The sequence below is a fragment of the Homo sapiens genome, chromosome 1, assembly GCF_000001405.40.
Source record: "Homo sapiens chromosome 1, GRCh38.p14 Primary Assembly".
NCBI classification, from domain to species: Eukaryota; Metazoa; Chordata; class Mammalia; order Primates; family Hominidae; genus Homo; species Homo sapiens.
The window spans coordinates 243,121,533-243,145,330 of record NC_000001.11 but is presented as its reverse complement, the minus strand read 5'-3'; the positions used below and the strand labels follow the sequence as shown (position 1 = coordinate 243,145,330).

The following is a 23,798-nucleotide window of genomic DNA, read 5'->3' as shown; positions in this document are numbered from 1 at the left end:
TGCACTCCAACCTGGCAACAGAGTGAGAGTCCACCTCAAAAAATAATAATAAGGCAAATTTTTAAATAGCTAATTTAAAACAATGTTTTGTTGGCAGTTTAAATCAATGAAGTCTGATAGTTTGTTTCTACTATAGTTGTAATAATATATAATCTTGCAAAGATTGTGTGTTTAATTGGGTATACACATAACTAGAACTCTAATTTTTAATATATCCTTTAATCTTCCAATATACCCAAATGTACAATTATTTTTTCCAGTATACAACCCTTCAGTGAAAAAAAAGTGTTATGACTGAGATAATTTACATAGGAAAATTATAAACTTTATGACTTAAAGTACATTTCTCATGTTATCTCACCATTTTTTCTTAAGTAATGCATACTTATTTCTACAGAATTGTTGAAATTGAGTCAGTGGTTCTGACACTTGGGAAAACATAAAGACTAGGACTAATGCTAGAGAACTGAACCCTTCTGTTTTGTTCCTTCAGCACTATTTTCTTATCCATATTTTGTAATAAAATGGAATTAAATGTGAAAATATCTATTAGGTTTTCAAATCAACAATATATGTTGTATATACGTTAAGAATTGCTCATTTTAATACATATTTTACTATATCACATGTGGAGATTGCTGTTGTCCATGTTTTTTCTAATTAATTTATACTGTTTTCCACAAATATTAGAAACTTCATTGTACAGATCGTCTGCATAAAAAATCCTTAATGAAAAATAGAGTTTTGGATACAATGATGCTTATCTGTATTTTATCTCATTAAGCTTGGTTATTCTGTTTCTTATTCTAGTTCATTTATTTTGGGGAATTGCAAGGATTTGCTATATTATATAAGGGAACACTTTAAACACATTTCAAAAGAATCACATCAACAGTTAATATGTTTTAAAAAATTATATATGGAGCAATCATGTGAGATGTAGCATGACATAGTGAAAAGATCTAGTTATGGCACTTAACTATGTGTGACCTTGGCCAAAAAAATGGTCGCATGTCTTCTCCTGTGCCTCATTTTCCTCATCTGTAGAACAAGATGATTAATACTTCTCTTACAGAGTGGTTGTGGGAATTAAATGAGTTGAGGACTATGAAGCTGCTTTATAATGTACTCATCATATTATAATGGTGCCTTCTGTGTATTCTAAGCTTCATGGGGACAAGGACCCTGTCTGCTTCTTCATTGCTGTAGTCTTTAGGACTTAGCACAGTGCCTGGCACATCATAAGCAATCAGTAAATATTTGTTGGTGTTTTTCCTGCCTCTTTGTGTTGATAAATAAATGAGGAATTAACTGACGTTTTTACAAAGTTTATATATTGACCATAAATTGGTTCTGTTGGTCCATAAACTTCAACTTAGTTCCCTTTTTAAATCTAAATTTTTATGTAATTACTAATGTGCTTGAAAGTCTTTCAAACTCACATTTTGCATAAGTTTAAAAAATGTTACTTTAAGCCAGGCATGTGTCTGTAATCTTAGCTATTTGGGAGGCTGAGTCGGAGGATTGCTTGAACTCAGGAGTTCGAGACCAGCCTGGGCAATATAACCAGACCTCCTAGGCTCTTTTTTTTTTTTTTCTTTTTAAGTTACTTTGTATTTCCTTTGGATTTTGAAGTTGCAGAAACTTTCATATATACTTTTAATAATATTCTGTCATTCCAAAACCTTCCCTGTGGAAATAGCCACATCGAGTTTATGGGCAGTAGATGCAGCTTGGAAAACGTTAATGTCTTATTGAAATGAAATGTTTCTCAAAAAACAAGAATATCAGTGGTAGGTTTTGTAAGTTTGTCCCTCTTAAAAAAAACTCTAAAAGAAAAATCTCTATTTTCACCTTTGATTATCACAGGTAACAGTTATTTAGTTCTTCAGTCCATGTAGGTAAAAATGCAAATGGCTTTATGGAAATGAGTACTAAAGCTTGGATCCAGTCCTGCCTTAGCTACATCTAAAGGTGTGATCATGAGCAAGCCATTCAGGTTCTCTGAGATTGTGATAAAGTCAGATGAATCCTACCTCAAAAGAACTTTGTGGGCCTCAAGTGACATAACATGTACTAGAAAGTGCTGTGCATAGTGTAAAGTGCTCTACGAAAGAGTGCAGGGTTCTTAATTTCTTGGTACTGTAGACCCCTTTGCCCATTTTGTGAAGCTTGTAGGGCCCTTCTCAGGTGTAAACATAAAAGAATTACAAAGAAATCCAATTATATTGAAATTCAGTTATCAAAATATTTGAAAGTAAGAGTAATTTATGGTTCTTTATTAACATTAAATAAAATGTTATTATTGTGTGTTTAATGACTTCAGTAGTTTTGAAGCAGTGATGACCATAAATGATGTTTAAATATACCCGTAGCAACTGTAATGTGATCTCTATTGATGACAAAAATCACCAGTATTGCTAATACCACTGTGATTTGTTGCCTGTATTTATAATTGAAAGAAATGCTAAGCGTCACTTAGAGGTTAGTGAATACATTGTAATTGTTTTTTCTCATTTAAGTTCATGAACTGCTTGAATTCTATCCATTATTCCCCAAGTTTAAGACCCCTGTGATGTATTAATGCTAGTCATTAACACAGTGTGTGTTAAGGGCATAGCTCTACTCAAGGGCTTTTAAAGTACATTTTTCAAGGTGATATCTTGTAGGTTATTTGGAGTTTAGTTTCATTAATCTTAATTTTGGAATTAAGGTTTAAGACTGATTATCAAAATAGTTAATAGTTAATTTGGGGTACAAATATTTAATTAGATATACAACTTACATGACTGATTATCTCATAAATGATTGTTTTTAGAGCTGTTTATTTAAAAGGGATTAAACTTCTTTTCTAAAATTATTACCAGGATCAGCCAAGATCTTGCTCTCATTGCTCGGGAGATCAACGATGTAGCAGGAGAGATAGATTCAGTGACTTCATCAGGCACTGCCCCTAGTACCACAGTAAGCACTGCTGCCACCACCCCTGGCTCTGCCATAGACACTAGAGAAGAGGTAGGAGATCTTCATGGAGAAATGCATAAGGTTCTTTCTTTTCTTTATTTCTTTTGCTTTTAGCTTTTTGCTTAGTTTATTTCAGTTATGTCCACCCTCCCTGTTTGCATGAAGCTCTGCATTTTCCAACTTTGCTTTAACAGTTTATTTTATGTTTTTGTAACAAAACTAGTGAAGGCTAACATTTGGTCTACTATTAACACGAAGCTGGAAAATTCTTTAGAAACAGCATTTTGCCTGCTAATTCTTGGTCCATAGCTTCACTTGAAACATGAATATAAATGGTATTTTGAAAAGCAACCCAAAATTTGATAAATGATGGTATAAAGTTTCTATAAAGTTTGACTATGAAAATGCTCCAATTAAAAATATTTTTATCACTAGTTAACTAGAAGATACTCTGATAACAAAGAGAAAAATCCTACAGTTTCACTGCTTTAATAATTCTGTTGATAAATACAAACACATACACATAAAGATATTTTGAAAAATTGAAATACATATGTAATATACACACATATAAATACATATTCAGAACATTTTCATAAAGTCTGGAATGCAAGTTACCATGTATAGACTATTACCCATCCAATATCAGGGCCTCTTACAGTATAACTCCAGGAGGCACCATTTGCATAACATTGCTCCAGACAGCACCTTTAACATGTAATACAAAATTAATGGTACTCTTTGGCCATGTTGGCTGCTTTGATTTGGGGCAGAAATGTAAGCAAAGGATTGGCATTTAAAAGAATGAACTTCTGTGTTTGGAGGTTGGCAAACTGGCCTTGCTGCCAGTTTTAATACAGACCAAAGAACTAGGAATGGTTTTTACATTTTTGAATGGCAGGAAAAAACATCTAAAGAATACTAATTCGCAACATGAAAATTACATGAAATTCAAATTTTGGTATTCATAAATAAAGTTTTATTAGAACACAGCCACACTTATTTAACTATCATCTATGGCTGTTTCTTTGCTACAGGGGCAGAACTGAGTAGTTGAGACAGAGATTGTATGGCTGCAAAGCCTGAGGTTTTATTATCTGTCTCTTTATAAATAAAAGTTTGCCAGCCCCTGGTATTGATTATTCTGCTTCTTCAATTTTACAAGATAATCCTAAATAGTAGGCAAAAATGGCTAGCCTTTTTGACAAATTTAATTGTGGTAAACTGTGCTAATAATATTTTCTTCATTTGCTTTTTGTCACATTCTTTAATCTGATTCTTTAATGGTCACTTTTTTGTTTGTTTTCCTTCAATGTGTTGTTTAACTTAATAAATGATACTTCATCAATCTGTGTAGAGTTTTGTTACCACATTGATCAAATGTAACTGTAAATGAAATCATCCTTATTGATGAAAACCTTAAGGATCGTCCTGGTGGCAAGACATACACAATTCTTCTGGTACATTTAAAATGTTGAAGATATTATTTTCTCAGCTTTCTAACTAAATTTTACCTAACATGATTATACATTCACTCAGACCCAGTAAAATTACTTAAACATTTCATTGAATAAACTTTATTTTCTTTTTGTTTTATTTCAGAATATTGTACTAGGTTGAGTCCCTCTTCAGTAAACCCGAGTTACTTAGTATTGTATGTCTGTGATTTGCACTATAGATGGCAGTATATCATTTCTATTAGAATGTGTAACTTCTATAGCATTGTTAAAAGTTTATTTGACTAAGATCAAAATATTTATTTTGTGGATTAAAAAATATTTTCCTTTTGTAAACTTAATTGGAATTTGCAATTTATGTATCTTGTGAAGAAATTTGACACCTGGATTTGGGGAGGAAAAAACAAGATAGGAAACTAAAAGAAAAAGAAACATTATTTTACACTGGTAAGGCAATGTGAGTAAAATGAACTCATTGTCCATCTACATGGCTCAGCTTTTTTTCTATTTACCATCTGTTTTCCATTTGGAGAAAATCTTATCCATGGAAGAATTAAATTTAACATAGTTATATATTTTGGATTTTGAAAATAAAACCTGTGTAGATGAATCTCGATTTTATAAAGGAAATACATTTGAAGTGCTTATAAAAAGAAAGAGTAATTGGTTTATTGAAGATGTTGTGCCTCTGTTACTACTTGAGAATGGAATAACTTCTGTCTAATCATAAAAATTGTAATGCCAATATTGGTACTTTTTCAAATTACTGTGTTCTCATAAAGGTTTGCTTTCGTCCCATTAGTTGGTTGATCGTGTTTTTGATGAAAGCCTCAACTTCCGAAAGATTCCTCCATTAGTTCATTCCAAAACACCAGAAGGAAACAACGGTCGATCTGGTGATCCAAGACCTCAAGCAGCAGAGCCTCCCGATCACTTAACAATTACAAGGCGGAGAACCTGGAGCAGGGATGAAGTAAGTAAACTATAAATTTTAACATGTGGCAGAAGCAGCATATTCCATAAGTAAGAAAAGGAGGAACCATTCAGTGAGTAGGGCTGGGGAAAAAGTGATTCTCCTTAATGAATGCAATGAAATTTCACCATGACATCACATCATATACAAATAATTATGTCACTTAGAGGTTAGCGAAAATAATACTGTAATTGTTTTTTCTCATTTAAGTTCATGAATATGAATTTAGTTCTTAAATTCATTCTCTAAATGAATTTAGTTCTTAATGCATGAAAAACTGTAAAACTTTTACTTAAAAAATACAGACAAATATCTTTCAATATTGTACTAGGGAGTGATTTCTTAAGAGAAACACAAACTTTTGGCCTTAGAAAATTGAGACATTTGAGTATATTAAAATTAAGGACTTTTTCTTTATTAAAAAATAAAGAAGGTAGAAATACAAGTTACAAACTTTTGCAAAACATACAGCCTATGAAGGATTAGTATACAGTATATATAAAAAACTCCCTCCAATCAATTAAAAAACACAATAGAAAAATCTGCAAAGACGTGAACAACATTTCACCAAAGAGAAAATACCGAGGCGGGCAGATCACCTGAGGTCAGGAGTTTCAGACCAGCCTGGCCAACATGGTGAAACTCCGTCTCTACTACAAATAAGAAAATTAGCCGGGCGTGGTGGCATGTGCCTGTAATCCCAGCTACTCAGGAGGCTGAGGCAGGAGAATCACTTGAACCCGGGAGGCAGAGGTTGCAGTGAGCTGAACCCACACCACTGCACTCCAGCCTGGGTGACAGAGTGAGACTCTGTCTCCAAAAAAAAAAAAAGAAAAAGAAAATACTTAAGGCCTACAAAACATGAAGAGAAGTTTAACTTAACAAGCATTCAGAGAAACGCATGTCAAGACTACAGTGAGATTATAATCATTCAATTGTTGACATGTTAAAGTCTTAAAATGTTAAGTATTGGAGGAAAGGTAGCTACATAGGCTTTCTTATGTGTGGTTGGTGGAGGTTAAGTTGGTGCCGCAGCTCTGGAAAACAGTTTGACACTATCTCCTAAAGTTGAAAATAAAGACATCACATGATCTAGCAATTTTCTTGCTAGTATATGTACAAGAAAAACCCTTTCCCATTGACAGTAGAAGTTACATTTATAGTAACATTGTTGACAGTATCAAAAACTTGGAAACTGTTTACATCAGCTGAAAAGTGAATGTATAAACTGGTATATTCCCAAATTGAACAATAATAGAGTAATAAAAAACTCAAAGATATAAAGGAGTTTCTTCATAAAAGAATGGTTATTTCAAATACTACTGTGGAAAGAGGTGATTTATGAACAACACACAGAGGTGGTATAGGCTTAAGGGCTGGGTAGAGGAATAATGTAGAAAGAAACAGTTGACCAGAAGAGATTGATCATAGATTAATATCTGTGGATCCCTGGATTTAGGAATAAGATCTTGAGATTATTATGTAAGAATATGTATGTTTCTCATGGTACTGAGTAGAAAAAGATCTACCTGGTAGAAAAGTATGCAACTAGCCCGAAAGTTACAACTGAAGTATACTAAAACGTTTTACAGCATACTTGATCTGTCCTGGCCTAATAGTTGATTTGTTCTTGGTATCAGGAAAAGAGCCTATTCTCTAAACTTACTCATAATCATTCTGTCCCGATGTCTAGGAAGACAAATTTCTCCAAACATAATAAAAAACTATGTGGAAGAAGTGTATGTTTTTAAAGAGAATGGAAACATCTAGATTGATAGTTATCTCAAGGTTGATATCAGGAATTTATTTAATACTTTGTGACAACAAACTAAACTTCATGAGCAAAGAAAAGAGAAATATCCTATTCTGTGTTGCAATGTTTCCTTAGACTCTCCTGCCCTTTCTCATGCCTTCCTAATTTGTATATGTCTTCCATCCTTATTTGATTGTTTTCTTAAGGCCCACAAAAACCATTTTGCTTATTTATCCTTTCCTTGACAATGTTATTTTTCACAACCTAAATAAACTTTTATTACCCACTAAATTCAAATCCTTGTCATTCTGAAGTTAGTTCACGTTTTTCCATGATCACTTCCTTATTTATGCCACTCATCAATGAACTCTCTTTCATTAGAATTCTTTTTTTTTTTTTTTTTTAATTTTGAGAGGGAGTCTCGCTTTGTCACCAGGCCGGAGGGCAGTGGTGCTATCTCCGCCCACTGCAACCTCTGCCTCCCAGGTTCAAGCAATTCCCCTGCCTTAGCCTCCCGAGTAGCTGGGACTACAGGCACGCACCAGCACGCCCCGCTAATTTTTGTATTTTTAGTAGAGATGGGGTTTCACCATGTTGGCCAGGATGGTCTCGATCTCCTGACCTCGTGATCCACCCACCCCAGCCTCCCAAAGTGCTGGGATTACAGGCGTGAGCCACTGCGCCCGGCCTCATTAGAATTCTTGCAGCACTGAGTCCCAAAATTTATGTGAACGTCTCTTGTTTTGTAGGCCTTAGGCTTTATGATAAAACATGTAATCGTATTCCCTGTATATTACCGTCACCTCTCCCAGTGGTCTTTAAACCTTTTTGCCTTCTAGGGCCTTATTTTCTGTTTTCTTTCAGGCTCTGGATATAGTACTGACAATATAAGGAGTTCATTTTGAAACCCACAGCTAGACTCAAGTTTTGACCTTTTTCTACCATGCTTCGTTAGCTTTGCCTTTCATGATTTGGCCTAGGGCTTGGCAAACTTCAGCCCATAGGCCAAATCCAACCTGTCACTTGTTTTGTAAAAGTTTTGTTACAACACGGCTATGTCCACATGCATAATTTGCTCATTATTTATGGCTGCTTTCACTCTGCAAAGGCAGAGTTGAGGAATTGTGGCAGAGACCCTATGTCCCTCAAAGACTAAAACCTTCACCCTCTGGCTCTTTACAGAGGTTGGTGACCCCTGGTTTTGCCCATGCATCTCAACTGGGGTAATACCAACACTCAGTACAAAAACTTACTATTTTGTGTAAATTTTTCAAAATGTGTGTTTCCCACTAGACTCTTTGCTGAAGAACAAGGATTGTACTCTTCTTGATTTCTGTATTCACATTACTTAGACCCTGTGTCCCTCAAAGACCAAAACCTTCACCCTCTGGCTCTTTACAGAGATTGGTGACCCCTGGTTTTGCCCACGCATCTCAACTGGAGTAATACCAACACCCAGTATAAAAACTTACTATTTTGCGTAAATTTTTCAAAATGTATCTTTCCCACTAGACTCTTTGCTGGAGAACAAGGATTGTACTCTTCTTGATTTCTGTATTCACATTACTTGGTGAAAGAATAAATAATAAATTTAGTACTCTAAGTTATTTGTATCTTCTCTTTTATAATTCAGTTGGAAGTAAGAGAGACAGGATCACAATATTAATTGAAGATAAACTGAGGATAAAATGGATTGTGTTTGGAAACTGATATGACCAAAATAATACGGAAACTTTGACAAGTTATTTAATAATAAGAACTCCTTTGTTAATAGTGTTTCTTTCACTTTCTCATTTTAGTTACATATTAATTATATTCTTCACTGGTTTATAATTAAAATAAGCATAAATACTAACTGCCCCTAACTATAGTGACTTGTGACTAGTGATCTCAGTAGTTATACAATACAGGGGTAATATTTTAATATCTACTTTTTTCTTTGGCTGTTTCAGGTCATGGGAGATAATCTGCTGCTGTCATCCGTCTTTCAGTTCTCTAAGAAGATAAGACAATCTATAGATAAGACAGCTGGAAAGATCAGGTACATGTACATATAGCTTTAACTTTAATATCACCTCACTTTGCTTTTTGCTTTTTCTCAAGGTTAAAAATGTATCATCAGAATGAATATGTTTACCTTTGGAAAAATTTGTCCCAAAGTAAATATCTATCCAGTACTACTTTATAACTTTAAATTTATTAGTAATTCAAAACATAAATAGACTTACAGATTTTATTCAACAGTACTTCAGAAATCCATGCTGCTATTGCTTATTTCTGATTCCTATAATTAAAATTTAAAATGTAATGAAACAGTATTTGAACATGGTTTGTGAATTGTAATATTCCACACAAATATAATTCTATATTGCTTATATATTGAAATAATATATTTTATCAGCATTTGATGAGTACCAAGAAGCCATTAAATTTTTTCAAAAACAATTTGAAAAGCACCATTTGAAAATTAAAGTATTCTTAAAAACAGTCTATTTAACTTAAAATAATCTGTTTTAAGTTACTGTAAACGAAGTTCGCATCATCTTCTAGAAAAATTGAGAAATTCAGAAGGAAATGTAGAAAGTTGGCCTATATAGGTAAATTTTACTTGGCATGTTAAGAAACAGAAAGAGCTTTCTTTTTATCTTGAGCCTGTATCTTAAAAATTTCTTAAAGGTGGCCGGGCATGGTGGCTCATGCCTGTAATCCCAGCACTTTGGGAGGCCGAGGCAGGCGGATCATGAGGTCAGGAGATCAAGATCATCCTGGCTAACACGGTGAAACCCTGTCTCTATTAAAATTCAAAAAAATTAGCCGGGCGTGGTGGCGGGCGCCTGTAGTCCCAGTTACTCGGGAGGCTGAGGCAGGAGAATGGCGTGAACCCGGGAGGCAGAGCTTCCAGTGAGCCGAGATCGCACCACTGCACTCCAGCCTGGGCAACAGAGTGAGACTCTGTCTCAAATAAATAAATAAATAATAATTTCTTGAAGGTGTACCAGACTTTCTCTTCACTTTATTGCCTCCTAAAAGAATATTAATTTAAAATTCCTTATGTTAAAAGTAATGTATTCTGCACCGTCTTGTCCCATTTTTCTATTTATTTTAAAATGTGTAGCTTTTTAGCAAAAGTAATACATCAACATGGTTAAAAAATATGAATATTCCAGAAAAATATTTATTATATCTAATAGTGGGTGTGTTTCCCCACTCTGGGTTCATTTCTCAACCGTCTATACAAACTTGATCATATTTTATCTACTTTTGTACCTTGATCTTTTCTCTTAATTAGATCTTTACTTTCCCCAAAGAGTATGAGTGAAATGTATTGACAGACCCCTCCATATTTGATTGGCATATGAGGCATGCTGCCTTAGTGAAAAAATAGCTGAGTCTGGGTGCAGTGGCTCATGCCTGGTAATCCTAGCACTTTGGGAGGCCAAGGCAGGCGGATCATTTGAGCCTAGGACTTGAAGACCAGCCTGAGCCACAAAGCGAGATTAAAAAAAAAAAAAAAAAAAATTGGCTGGGCATGGTGGCACATGCCTATAGTCCCAGTTATTTGAGAGGCTGAAATCGGAGGATCACTGGAGCTCATGAGTTCAGAGTTACAGTGAGCCATGATCATGGCACTGCACCACAGCCTGGGCAACAGAGCAAGATCCTATCTCAAAAAACAGCAATAGAATGTTTAAAACGTTTGGCTTTTCGTAAAGAGTACCTTGTACATATAAATAATGTTGAAGGTGTTTTTAATGACTACCATTACGTACCTATCCATTGTTTTTTTAAAGGGAATTTACCTTTATCAATTCCCATATATTCTTATGAATTTTAAATAGACTTAATTTTCTACAGAATAATATTTTAATATTTACTTAACAAATAAGTATTAGGTACATTCTAGGTACTTTATAATTAGACATTGACAAAACAAAGACCCCTGTTCTCATGAAATTTACATTCTATATCATGTAAACCAGTCAGCTTGTATTAAGTTAGCTATTTCTGCTATCTACACATGATTTGACTTAATTTCATTATTTCACTTGAATATTACCTGTATTTTACTACCCACATTTTCTATTTCCACTTGAAGCCCAATAACCTGCATCAACTTTTTCTTATTATTAAAATCACTGGTTACACTGATGAGATAAAAAGTATAATAACAATATTAATTTCAGGTATAAATTGGAACCTTATTAACTAAAAAATTTTAAGGCTTATAATTGATTTTAGAGAAATTAAATTAGTTGAATGCTGTTTATAAATACCACATTTTATAAATCCTGATAGGGCTTATAAATGAGTCCATTGTTTTTCTTTTACTCACACTCAGTGATTAAGTAATTAGCACCCTGTTATTGTCTTACGTGAGATATAGTACATGTTTTCCCCTAGTGACTCCATCATTCCTAGGTTTACTTCTTTCACAAGTAAGAGAATCCCCTTCACCGTACAACCCATTCACCTATGATTTGCTAATATATCCTATGGCCAGAGACAAATGAAGTCCACCATTCCCTGGGGTAAAGCCTAACTGAAATTTGTAGGGAAAAAAATTTTAAGCTTAACTTACTAGTTTTTACACATGAATAAACAAATCTATAGGCCTCAATCACACAGCTGCTTATTAATATCATGATTTGGCTCAAGCATTCATTGTAGTTAAATGTAATATATAATTGTTATCATTTTTATTTTAGTTCCACTAAAATTATTTTCTAAAGCTGGGGCATTATGGAAGGATTATTAACCAAAGAAATAAATAAATGAAATAAACATTGGTTAAGATCATCTTATATGGGAATAAAGTCTCCAGACTCATTCATTCATTGAATGATTTTTGACTGTATGTTATTTGTCTAGCACTGTTTTTGATGTCCTCACATTTGAGTGTAGAAGGCAGGTAAACAGTTAATTATAGTTCAGTGTGTTAAGGGAAATATAGGATGGTTACTATGGAAGCCCATAGCAAGGGCACTTGGGAAATTCAGAGAAGGGCTCTTAGAGAAATTGCCATGCAATTTAAGTCCTGAATGATGAGGAGAGGAGTTACTCAAAAGCTATGTGAAGTGAAAGGGCCAGAGTATGGTGAGAGATGACACTAGAGAGATGAGGATGGATCTGTTTTGGCAGAATTTGTTAAGGAGTTTGGATTTTATTATTAAAAACCATAGGAAGCTAATATATCCAATATGGGTCCTCTTGATACACCAGTGCTATCTGTAAAAATATCATGAGAGTCTTGTATGGTCATGTGGCTTGCACCTGGAAAACCCTGGAGTCTCCTTACCTGTAAACAAGTACACAGTGTTTTTTCATCCTACCTACTGAAATACAGGTCCGTCCCTGCTAACTGGAGTCTTAACCACTCATTCATTTATTCAGCAGATGTTCACAGATTACCTGCTGTGTACCATTCTCTTCCTTACCACGGAGCAGCTTTCCTACGTTCTGTAGTCTCCCCCAAAGAAAAATATTTTTTGTAGCTTTGACATTGAACTAAAATTGAGAACAAAGAAGACATTGCTGATGGATTGATAACCTGTGTTGTCTCAGAAAGTGACAGAATTTATAAAGTTTAAAAAAGGATGCATAAAAATGCCTCAATAAAGTTATACATAAATACAGAATGTTTAATGTATTTGAATTGCCTTCAGTTCGAGTGTTGAGTTTTACTATGCATAAAGCACTATGGCAGGCTTTATGGAAGGTAATGAGGATAAAACCATTTCTATTATTAAAGAGTTTCCAGTGTAGTTGGCAAGGTGAGGCACATATGCAATCAACTGTCGTACAAGATAGCGTATAATAGATTAGTGCTCAGTTAGAGATATAAAGGCAAAGGAAGGATCACTTTCACCTAGGAGGTTTAGGGAAGGCTTTGGGAAGAAGATACTATTCAAAGGTAGGTCTGAGTTGTGATAACCAAACCTAAGGGGTAGAGACCTGGGCCTTCTGCGTGGAAAGTGCCAGGGTAGTTTGAGAATCAACTGGTCTTTAAGCTTTGTGTCAGGAGTTATAACCTCAAATGTCTACTGGGGTTCATCCTAGAGGCATGCGTACTTACATTGTATGAACACTGTCTGTGGAATCCATTTTTAAATATTTATACAGGAACTCCTGTTGTACAGCATTCTCATTGCATTCCATGTGAAAATGACCCCCTTAGGTTGTGTAGCATGGCCTTGCATTGGTAGACTCTCAATTCGCAACTCCGCGTTCGCATGTTTTAAGGGCTAGTACTAGGGAATTGGTTATGGCTCATAGAATAGGAGCCTGAGACTTCTGTTTGTTTCCCTAAAACCAATGGCTTTATCAAAAGTATTTTAACTTAATTCTTAAATTATTGAATGAAATAAGCTTTGGAATTTTATGTATTTTCATGCTGAAGTTTAGCTTATTTTGAATCTATAATATAATCTGAATATCACTTTGAAAGCTATGATTTTTTCAGCTTAAAATTGATAAGGACCTTCAAACAAAAACAAGTTCTGGTCATTATAGCCTGGTCTAAACTAATTTCTTGGTCTGGTTTTCTGATTCTCTAGTATTTAAATATTAAATATTATAGTAAATATTATAGTAAAGTTTATTTCATAATGCCAAAATGACAAGTTTGACTTCTTAGATCTGTTCTATTATATATTACAAATTGTTTTTTGTTTTTTTGTTTTTTTGTTTTTTGTTTTTTGTTTTTGAGATGGGCTGGAGTGCAGTGGCATGTTCACAACTCACTCACTCAGTGCAGCCTCGACCTCCCTGGGCACAAGCAATCCTCCCACCTCAGCCTTCTTAGTAGCTAGGACTACAGGCATCTGCACCACACCTGCTAATTTTTTTGTATTTTTTATAGAGACGAGGTCTCGCCATGTTGCCCAGGCTGGTCTCGATCTCCTGGCATCAAGTGATCCACCCACCTTGGCTTCCTAAAGTGCTAGGATTACAGGCATGAGCTATTGTGCCTGGCCAACAAACTGTATTTTAAAATAAACCATTTATTTCTTCAGGGGGGCATTTTTTTTTCAGGGGCAACCCGTGAAAAACCCATTTTCACCAAAGGTGAAATGTCTATGGTTTAACAGTTTTAGATCCACAAACACTATACTCAGTAGCCATCCTCTGGAAAAATTCACTGAATTTTTAGCACTGTGTGGCTAAACAGAGTCTTTCTCTATTGTATAAGTCCATTACAGTTCTAAGCTGGTCCATGAAATAGTCATTATTTCCTTATTTTCCATCAGTCCTAATGCTGCAAGGACTCTTTTACAAGAACATAATAATTTAGAAAAGATGGCTGGCAAGGGTGTTCATTTTTTTGAGTTTAGAAAATTTAATAAGTAGGCCATAAGAATATTCTTATACCAGATTCTAGACCCGTTGCCACCTTAAGCAAATGTTCCAGACTTGATGTGATGTTAATGAGTTTCATGTTTTTAAATAAGGTAAGTCTGGCATGTTGATCTTTGAAGAAATACCAGCACAAATATTAACTTAGTTTACTACTTAAATGCTGATCAGCTTGCAGTAGTAATACATTTACATGAGGTTATATAGTGTTGTTTAAACTAGATTTCCAGGCTTACTGAAAAAAATTTAAAAGAAACCAAAAAAGTAGCTAGTATTTACATCTAAGACTGCTGAATCATGTCTGATAGACTCTAAAGTGTTAGAAAAGTGTCCCACATTTGAAAGACACGTCAAAATTTTGTGGTCCTTTATTTTATAAGTTATTTGATGTTAGGGTAATGATAGGATAATTATCTTTATTGGCAATTGTTTTTATCAAAAGGGTAGCATCCTAATTCCTAATAGGTTATTATGTGCAAGTATACTAACACGAATTAACAATTGTTAAAGAAAAGCACAGTAAGTACTCCCAATTTTTTGTCTTCAAAATAATATACACACTTTTCTTGATCGATAAGGTGCTTATTCCCATATAAAGAGGTCTTAACAGACACAATTGTTTATACCTAATTCAACCTATTTTCATCTCACTTATTCCTATACTGCATATATTCTGTCTGAATAAAATTGCATTTTCTTTATAAGTGACAGTTACACAGTCTTTTCTCCTTATACCCAGGTGATACATGTTGTTCCAAGATACCCACTGGATGCCTGACACCACAGATAATTCTAAAACCTAATATACTGTGTATTTTCCTACACATACATGCCTATGATAAAGTTTAATTTATAAATTAGGCACAGTAAGAGATTAACAATAGTAACTAATAATAAAATAGAACATTTGTAACAATATACTGTAAAAAAAAGTTATGTGAATGTGGTCTTTTTTTTTCTCTCTCTCTCTCTCCCTCTCCCAAAATACTGTAATAGTTACGGACCATGCTTGACTGCCACTAACTAAAACCATGGAAAGAGAAACTGTGGATAAGAGGGCATTACTGTATTGTAAATTATAAATATTAAAGTTTTGAGGTCATAACATCATTTACATTTGTTTTATATTTTGTTTTCAATAAAGAATAAGATAAACAGTAAAGAATTTATGCATGTATTAATAAGCATTCAATTGGAGCTCATACACATGAATTAATTGGTACTGTTGGCTTAGTATTTTAATTCTCAGTTTATGCGGTGGTTGGTTTTTTTTCTTTGTGTACCTTTGAAAAGATACATTGCTTTGGTATTATTAACAAAAAAGTAATAGGTTTTTAAAATATAAAAAGTTATATGCTTATGTTTTTTGATTTATAGAATATTATTTAAAGACAAAGATCGGAATTGGGATGACATAGAAAGCAAATTAAGAGCCGAAAGTGAAGTCCCTATTGTGAAAACCTCAAGCATGGTATAGTAATTTTTCTTGAAGATTAAAACATTTTAATAGAGTTTTATTTTAAGGAAAAGACCCTTATTTTTGAGCTGTTCGTTGATTTGCTTTTTCAAAAGAAGATATAAATGCAAAATTTTGGGAAATTTTATTTCTTCTACTGACTCACAGGTTTAAAATGTTGATTGTTTCAAAGTTGCAGAGGGTATGAAGGAGGAGCCTTTTGTGTTTCTTACTAGTATAGATTGTTCTTGTAATAATTAAACATTAGAAACATGAAATTTTTAAAGAGAACCAAATCTAACATGAAAATATTAAGTTGACATAAGTCGTTTCCGTTTACTTAATATAATGCTTATCTTCTTTTTAAAAGAATTTGTACAGATTTTCATTGCTCAGAATATAATTATAATATTGAGGTTGCAGTTTATATGTTTTTACAAAGATAATTTGAAGGCATTTTTACATAGTTATTGCAAGGTTGATTAATAAGAATTTTAAAAATCTTTGCGGCCGGGTACTGTGGCTCACGCCTATAATCCCAGCACTTTGTGAGGCCAAGGAGGGCGGATCACTTGAGGTCAGGAGTTGAAGACCAGCCTGGCCAATATGGCGAAACTCTGTCTTTACTAAAAATACAAAAATTAGCCAGGCATTGTGGCGGGCGCCTATCATCCCAACTCCTTTGGGGGCTGAGGCAAGAGAATTACTTGAACCTGGGAGGAGGAGGTTACAGTGAGCCAAGATTGCGCCATTGCACTCCAGTCTGGGCGACAGAGTGAGACTCGGTCTCAAAAAAAAAAAATCTTTGCTTAAATAGTAGTAAATGTTAAACTTTTCATCTGCTACAATCATCTCACTGAAAAAGTTATTGTATTTCATTTTAGTTTAAATATTTTAATTTGAATCTTGTTTGCTAGATATCATAATTATTTCATATCATGTTGCTATTAATGTAGTAAGTACCATGTAGATAATATTAAGTGTTCCAAATAAAGTGAGAGTGAAATTCATTGCTTGTAAAGTGATAACATTTAGCTAAAAGTAGGCTAATTTTTGTTATTGCTTTCCCTGCAGGAGATTTCTTCTATCTTACAGGAACTGAAAAGAGTAGAAAAGCAGCTGCAAGGTAAATTTACTACTGAATTAAGTATAAAGAGCTAATAATTTAGAATAAGTGCCTTCTGAGTGGTATTTCTTAAAATATTGTTAGGATGTTATTTGATTAAATGTAATGACATACATAAAATACAGAGTTCAAACATTCACATTATTCATAAAAAGGAATTTTTTTAAACCCAGTATAAAAATTTAAAATGTAATAAAGATATATGTTGGGCATATTTTAGTTCATAGGTTTGACAGTAGGCTAGATGTCATAAACTAATTGAAATTTTTTATGTATTACATATAAATAATATGTGAAAAATATATAATAAAGTTGTGTTAATTAGCATTATTTGTGTGATTTGACAGTTCTTAAATTATGTTGGTGGTGTAACCTGAAACAAACTTACATTCTAATAGAAATAATAGTTGTTTGGTTGACAAGAAATGAGTACATATTGGCCATAGAGACCAGAAGAGAAAGGAGAGAAGAAAGTGAAAGAGGCTGCCCTCTAAACTTGTCAGAGCTGGGCTGTGCATTAATGCCTATGTATGTCTTGACCCAGAAGTCCCCAGTGGTACAACAGGCAGGTTCCATAGTCAACTGCTAATTCTACTGAGTCTTTATCTATCGAATAATCATAGGTACTTATGTGGATCCTATCAAAATGATTTTTCATCTTTATTTAGCCCCAACACACCTAAGGGTTATGGTACACCCCATGAGTAAAAGTGGCTTGCTAACACAGTGCTTGTTAGCTGGTAGACTGGGGGTATACTTTTAAAAGTCCCTTCTACATGATTCTTACATCTATGTTACTTCCTTCTCCCAACTCCCTACTCTGCCCAATGCCAAATTGAAAATCACCGCCTGAGAACTTTCCATGTCAACCCAAAGATCTTTTGGACTGAAAGCTGACCTTTAACTGACCCCTTCCATATAGGCAGCAAGTCTGTTTGGCTTTGCAAGCTGCCCTGTGATATTAGTCTGTAGGCTCTGAGGGAACCCCTGTATCTCAGTGGTGTATACAGCTGATAACCCTAGCACTCTGGCCAGGCTAAATGACCGTATTCTATGGTAGCATTCAAAGTATGCTGATGTTCTTCTGGCCTCTCCAGCCTTGAGGTTACTCTGAACCCTGACTTAGCAGCTAATACCTCAGTTATCTGAGTGATGTGGGTTTAGATGTTTATTAAAAATCATATTCAGTATTTTCTCGGTCCTCTCACAATAATGAAGACAAATTTCAACAAGATTTTTCTTGAATTCCACATCTTCAAATACCAGACTTACAAGTCTCTGAAATGCCCGTAAGTGCCACATCAAAGGACCCAGAGAAAGTATTCAGGGCTGGGTGATTTACAGTACAGCTACAGAATAACTAAGAATGGAGTTTTAAATATAATATTGGAAGATTAGCCACATTTAAGATCACATACGCACTGATAGTTTAAATATTATCCAAATCATGAACAGTGTTTATATGTGAATGTAACTGCATCTAAAATTATTTCCTTTTCCCGCCCTTTAGCAATCAATGCTATGATTGATCCTGATGGAACTTTGGAGGCTCTGAACAACATGGGATTTCCCAGTGCTATGTTGCCATCTCCACCGAAACAGAAGTCCAGCCCTGTGAATAACCACCACAGCCCGGGTCAGACACCAACACTTGGCCAACCAGAAGCTAGGGCTCTTCATCCTGCTGCTGTTTCAGCCGCAGCTGAATTTGAGAATGCTGAATCTGAGGCTGATTTCAGTATACATTTCAATAGATTCAACCCCGATGGGGAAGAGGAAGATGTTACAGTACAAGAATGACTTTCTCTTGATTGTTGAAAAATCATTACCTGTGGAATGGCTAGGAATATTGGAAGCAGCATAGTGTTGATGTACGCAAAACAAGACAGCTTGGTCAGCTACAATCTTGGAATCCCTGTCTTCTTAATTTTATTTATTTATTTTTGACGTATAATGTAGTATATCAATCCTTTCAAACTATTTAGATAACCACTTGATGCACAAATAGGAAAAAGCAGATTGTGGCAGTGTCGCCTTTTGTGGTTTTATGATTTTCAAATTGAATTTAATGATTACACCCTTTCCCTTCATAGATCTTTTTTCTTTTTTTTAAGCCATGCTGTGACCTACAAGCAAACTAAATAGCCAACATTTCTGAACCCCTAAGTCTCCTGTGCCAAGCTGCTCCCTGAAATGGACTTCTTCATCTGTACAGATTTGTTAAACCATTCTATTTGCTTCTTAATAATAGGATTTATATTAGTACTCATTACCATTGGACACAATGACATAAGTACTCTCCACAGTAAAGCAGACCTTTCACAACAGTCACTCTGTGTCCTAAAATTTTCCAACATAGATGTGATTTATATAACTTTGTTGATACGTAAATTGTCTTGGGGTTTACGGAAATTAACTATTATGTTTGCACTAAGATTTGCTGGGAGTGGTAGGTGGACATATCTATATATCAATAAGGACTAACCGTCTTTTTTGTACATAGGAGATTGATAATACTGTATTTGTTTTAAGCCCACAGTGTTTTACTCCACTTTCAAAAAGATCAATTTGGCACTTTTTTTCATTTTTTTTAATGGAAATAAGATTTGGTCTCTCATTTTAGGTTAAATGATAACTAGAAAGATTAAACTAGACAGATAGTTTAGGTGGAGTATATTTTTAAAACTCAGAACATGTATATTGGTCCTGTGTTACCAAGTTTATATGTGACAGTTGAAAAAGAAATTCCCTTGAAATGATCATGAGGTTAAAATTTTCTTCATTAGGGGACTTGGAGAACCAGTAGTCGTAAGATTAGTTGATAGTTTCACTCCCAAGCAATGAATTGCTTCTGTGTGTTTCCCTGTAGGACTCAATAGTAAATGCTGTCTGTCTTACACATTTATAAGGACCCTGCAAGACGACGACAAAGGCCTTTGGCCTGTGCTACTAAACAAGAAGCCTATGAAAAATTTCTTCTTTAAACTTGTTTTTTCTCTTTCCAGTAAGTTCACATTTGGATAATTTTAAAAAGAAAAGTAATTACCTTTGTGTTTCCAGAACACTATAATTGGGGTGTATCTTAATTCAGTTAAATATTATTAGTAGACCTGGATTTTCCCCCTTGACCCCATCAGTCTATAAAGGTTAAACTGCAACTTTTATGAAATGGTCTTTAATATTTCCACAATAATCCTGTGCTATATTTGTTTTAAGAAACAAAGTAACTCTATACACTTCAAGACTTTACAGGATTTTTTAAATCCTGTATTGTTGGATCAATTAATAAAGATGCAAAAAAACTTTATAGAGATGTAAAAACAAAACTATAATGGATCTCCTATTTTTCTTTAAATACAAAAAAAAAAAGGTAAATGAACTATTCTCCTTGTAAAGCTAAATTCCCCATTCTGTCTAATAAAGGAAGACTGAAAAAAGGTTTTAAAGAACATAAATGGAAAGATACAAATGCTTTGAAGGAATAAACGAAATGTTAAAACAGGGTCAATCCATTTGAAGAAAAAGTTGGACAAAATAATCAGCATTGCTCCCTCTTTTATTTAATATTTGGGTACTGATTATATCCACATGGAAGTAGAAGGTAAGGAGTTTAGGAAAATACTAGAATCTACTCTGCTTACATTCTTGTTTAAGTGTTTACACAGTTTGGTTCAATTATAAACATTTGGCCTTTTACTATGTTATTTTTATTTTGTATGAATACATTATCCTCCTTATTTATTTTTGTTACATTTATTACTTATGTTATTTTGTTATGCATTTACAACTCCATTTTTAAATAAAGTGTTTCTGGAACTTTATACAATGATTGTATATTTTATTTCTTTTACCATCTTGCTTGCTAATACTTCATCAACTTATCAAATGATTATAAACCATTTCCCAAGGCTTAGCAAAAGAAAGAATCCTCCAGTTCTATTAATATGTGGTTACTGTGAAATCTCTTATTAGTTTGACTATTTAAAGAAAAAAATTTTCTTAGCAGATTCTGATCAATATAATTCACTTAGCTTCATGTCCTAAAGTAATGTGCATGTACAAGGTCTTTATTTTTAACCAGCTTTAGATCATCAGAAAGCTTTATGACAGTGATGTATTTGGGGAATAAAGTAGAAATTTAAAATACTTTTGTCATCTTAAATTCAATAACTGTCAATTTATACTGTTTTTTTTTTATCCTATCAAGCTCAAGAATCTTGAATGTCTCATTATTATTATTCAAAATTATAAGTTTCACAGCTTAACCTTTTGAGACTTTGTGTGTTCTGGCCCTTTTCTTACGTGCGTATCTATGTGTCCCATTATAGTATCTACCACCATTTACAAGTTTCTTGACCACCATGAGCTTTTCATCCTTCTGTACCCTGCGTCTTCCTCCCCTTCCTTCCTGCTTCAAGGTCCCACCAACCTCTTCATAAAGCTTCCTCCACTTGACCGCACCACAAAGGGCTGTGCCACATGCGTGCATTTTCTCTTCCCTTCCCCCATGACATATACACGTTTCTTCCCTGGTAACTAAAGTAATCTTCATTTCCTGGATAGTCCCTTTGCTTTGAAACATCTGTGCCGTTTTGTCTCCTTCATCTCTCCTTGGATTTGCTTGCCACATCTCTGCCTGAAAGGATTCTAACTTGGAAAGGAAACCAAACTTGGAAGTTTGAGATCCAGACCCGCTCCCTCCTAGCTATCAGTGTGTTCCGTCCTCCCATCTGCAAACTTAGGACACTAGTGTCATTATCCAAGTCCCTTTTAGTCTAAGTTGTCTATGACTTTATGAAATGTTCTCCTTCAAAAAGCTTTTTCTGATTCTTTGTCATTTCAAATCTTCCTTTTCATTGTGTTTGCATAACCCCTTTGTGTTTGCATAATACAGAAAGTTCTTAGAAACCAAAATAAAAATGTATTTAATTGAATCAGCATCAATTGAGATGTACGTACTTACTTTCAAGAAACAGTCTATTGGGAGATGGCTGTGTAAACAATTCACTCTAAGGTGAGGTAGAATGGGATCTCTACACGTAGGAGACAAATGCAGCCTTTTTTTTTTTTTTTTTTTTGTCTTCTATGTTTAGGTAAGGGGGACAGGCAGGGAGCCAACAACCACAGGCATCTGGCTGCCAGCAAGGGTTTGGGGGAGGTTTATGAAGCGTCTTTGTCTTTGAGTGATGGTCTCTCATGTGACAGTAGTCAAGCCTGCTTCTTCCTGTAAGTCTTTAACACGACACAGTTGTTTACATGCTTTCATCACAGTTAGTTTCAAAAACTACATGGTTGCTGTTTTTGTGTTTTACCCCAGTGCTCTAAAAGCATCCTAGCCTACGTACAGAAATGGCTCAAAGCCTCTTAAATGGAAATGGAATTGGTTATGTTCATTCTTTTGCTATTTCACTATTACGTTTGTTGCTGCTTTTCCTGAATCTTGACCATAAGGAAAAGTTCCCCGTCAGCCACATTCTGTCTCTAACACCTCACCACCTGGAACAGATTCTTGTTGAATATTTAGTTGTCTTTAACTCTTGTGCATCCTGCAATGTACAACAAACATTTTGTAGATTTTGTTAATTAAAATATTTTAGAGTTATTATGACCACTATAACTTACTACTGCTACTGTGAGGTCTAACCTTGAACTGAAGGATGAAAAATTATTTAAATTTTGAAGCATAGTACATTAGCTCTAGAAATGCTCAACACTAGTTCAGCAACGTCATATTTAGAGTAATTGAAACAAATATAACAAGGAGTGAGGGGCTGTTTTTTCTAGGCAGTATAATAAATGCTTTACCTGCACTGTCCCTTTTAATGCTCACACCTCATTAATAAGCTGTTACTCCTGCATTAGAGATGAAGGAACTGAGGCAGCAGCCCAGTTGGGATTTGATCAACACGTATTTGACTTGGAAATCCAAACTGTTTATAACCATTCTCCACGGGCTGTCACCCAGCAAACAACTGGTAGAGCCTAGACAAACCAAGTGACTTGTATTCACCCTTTACAGCTTTGTCTCGTGACCACAGACCCGAAGAGGTCACCAGGCCCTTCCTCTGCTTTTGAGTAGAACTTCTAGAGCTGGGGATCCTGACATTTCTCCTAGTAAGCTTCTCTACTGATGACAAGCAATGACCAAATGCTAAGAATGTCTTTGTTATGTGAAACAGATTCTTTGAAAGAGATAATGAACTGTCTCCTTGAAAGCTGGATGTTGGGTGCTTCAGGAAGAATGCTATGAAGAACCACGTCGGTTTATGAGCTGACTGTACTCTCCACTTGTTTTAAAGAGGTGAAACCCAGGGCTGCCAATAGAAACTCTGGTGACTCCACATCAGAGCTACGTGACCAGTGAGCTGCCTCCCAAGGTATTTGTTACAACACTTGTCTCTGAGCAAGGCCAAATAAAATGGAGTAAAAAACCACCCCTTGGACTAACAGAGCATGACCATGGAAATTTCTCAGGACAAACAGTGGCTGGAGTGTAGCAAGGCAGAAAGCAGCATGGTCTTAACCTGACACTTAGAGATAAAACAATAAAAAGTGTAGGGGGCTCCTATGCCAATTTGCAATAATGAGCAAGGGTAGTGACAGTTGGATTTTTCTTGAATGAGAAAAATTTCCATCAAATTTGAAACGAAATAAACACACAAAGTCTCTGTGCTATTTCCGTGGTAATGTTTGCACCCAAGTCTCTGGAGCTCTGG

At 34.7% G+C, this 23,798-nt stretch overlaps 1 protein-coding gene across 27 annotated transcripts in view, besides 1 other annotated feature; it reads left to right on the top strand.

Moving 5' to 3' along the window:
* Positions 1–20,903, top strand: part of CEP170 (centrosomal protein 170) — a 131,358-nt gene extending 110,455 nt beyond the window's left edge. For 15 of the 27 annotated variants that reach the window (XM_047435483.1, XM_006711843.5, XM_017002951.3 and 12 more), the window contains 6 exons: positions 2,868–3,045; positions 5,224–5,394; positions 9,100–9,188; positions 15,878–15,971; positions 17,031–17,082; positions 18,593–20,903. In XM_047435483.1, coding sequence (XP_047291439.1) covers positions 2,868–3,045; positions 5,224–5,394; positions 9,100–9,188; positions 15,878–15,971; positions 17,031–17,082; positions 18,593–18,882 — 874 coding nt within the window. In that variant the 3' untranslated portion in view covers positions 18,883–20,903. The remainder of the gene's footprint in view (positions 1–2,867; positions 3,046–5,223; positions 5,395–9,099; positions 9,189–15,877; positions 15,972–17,030; positions 17,083–18,592) is intronic. The other 12 variants (XM_017002949.3, XM_017002945.3, XM_017002942.3 and 9 more) reach the window with 2 other exon arrangements.
* Positions 23,016–23,519: an enhancer, noted in NCBI's record as "NANOG hESC enhancer chr1:243285114-243285617 (GRCh37/hg19 assembly coordinates)". NCBI's record gives its function as "activates a minimal SCP1, AML or CMV promoter by ChIP-STARR-seq in naive H9 embryonic stem cells {active_cell/tissue: H9 hESC(naive)}" and the evidence as "EXISTENCE:reporter gene assay evidence [ECO:0000049][PMID:30033119]".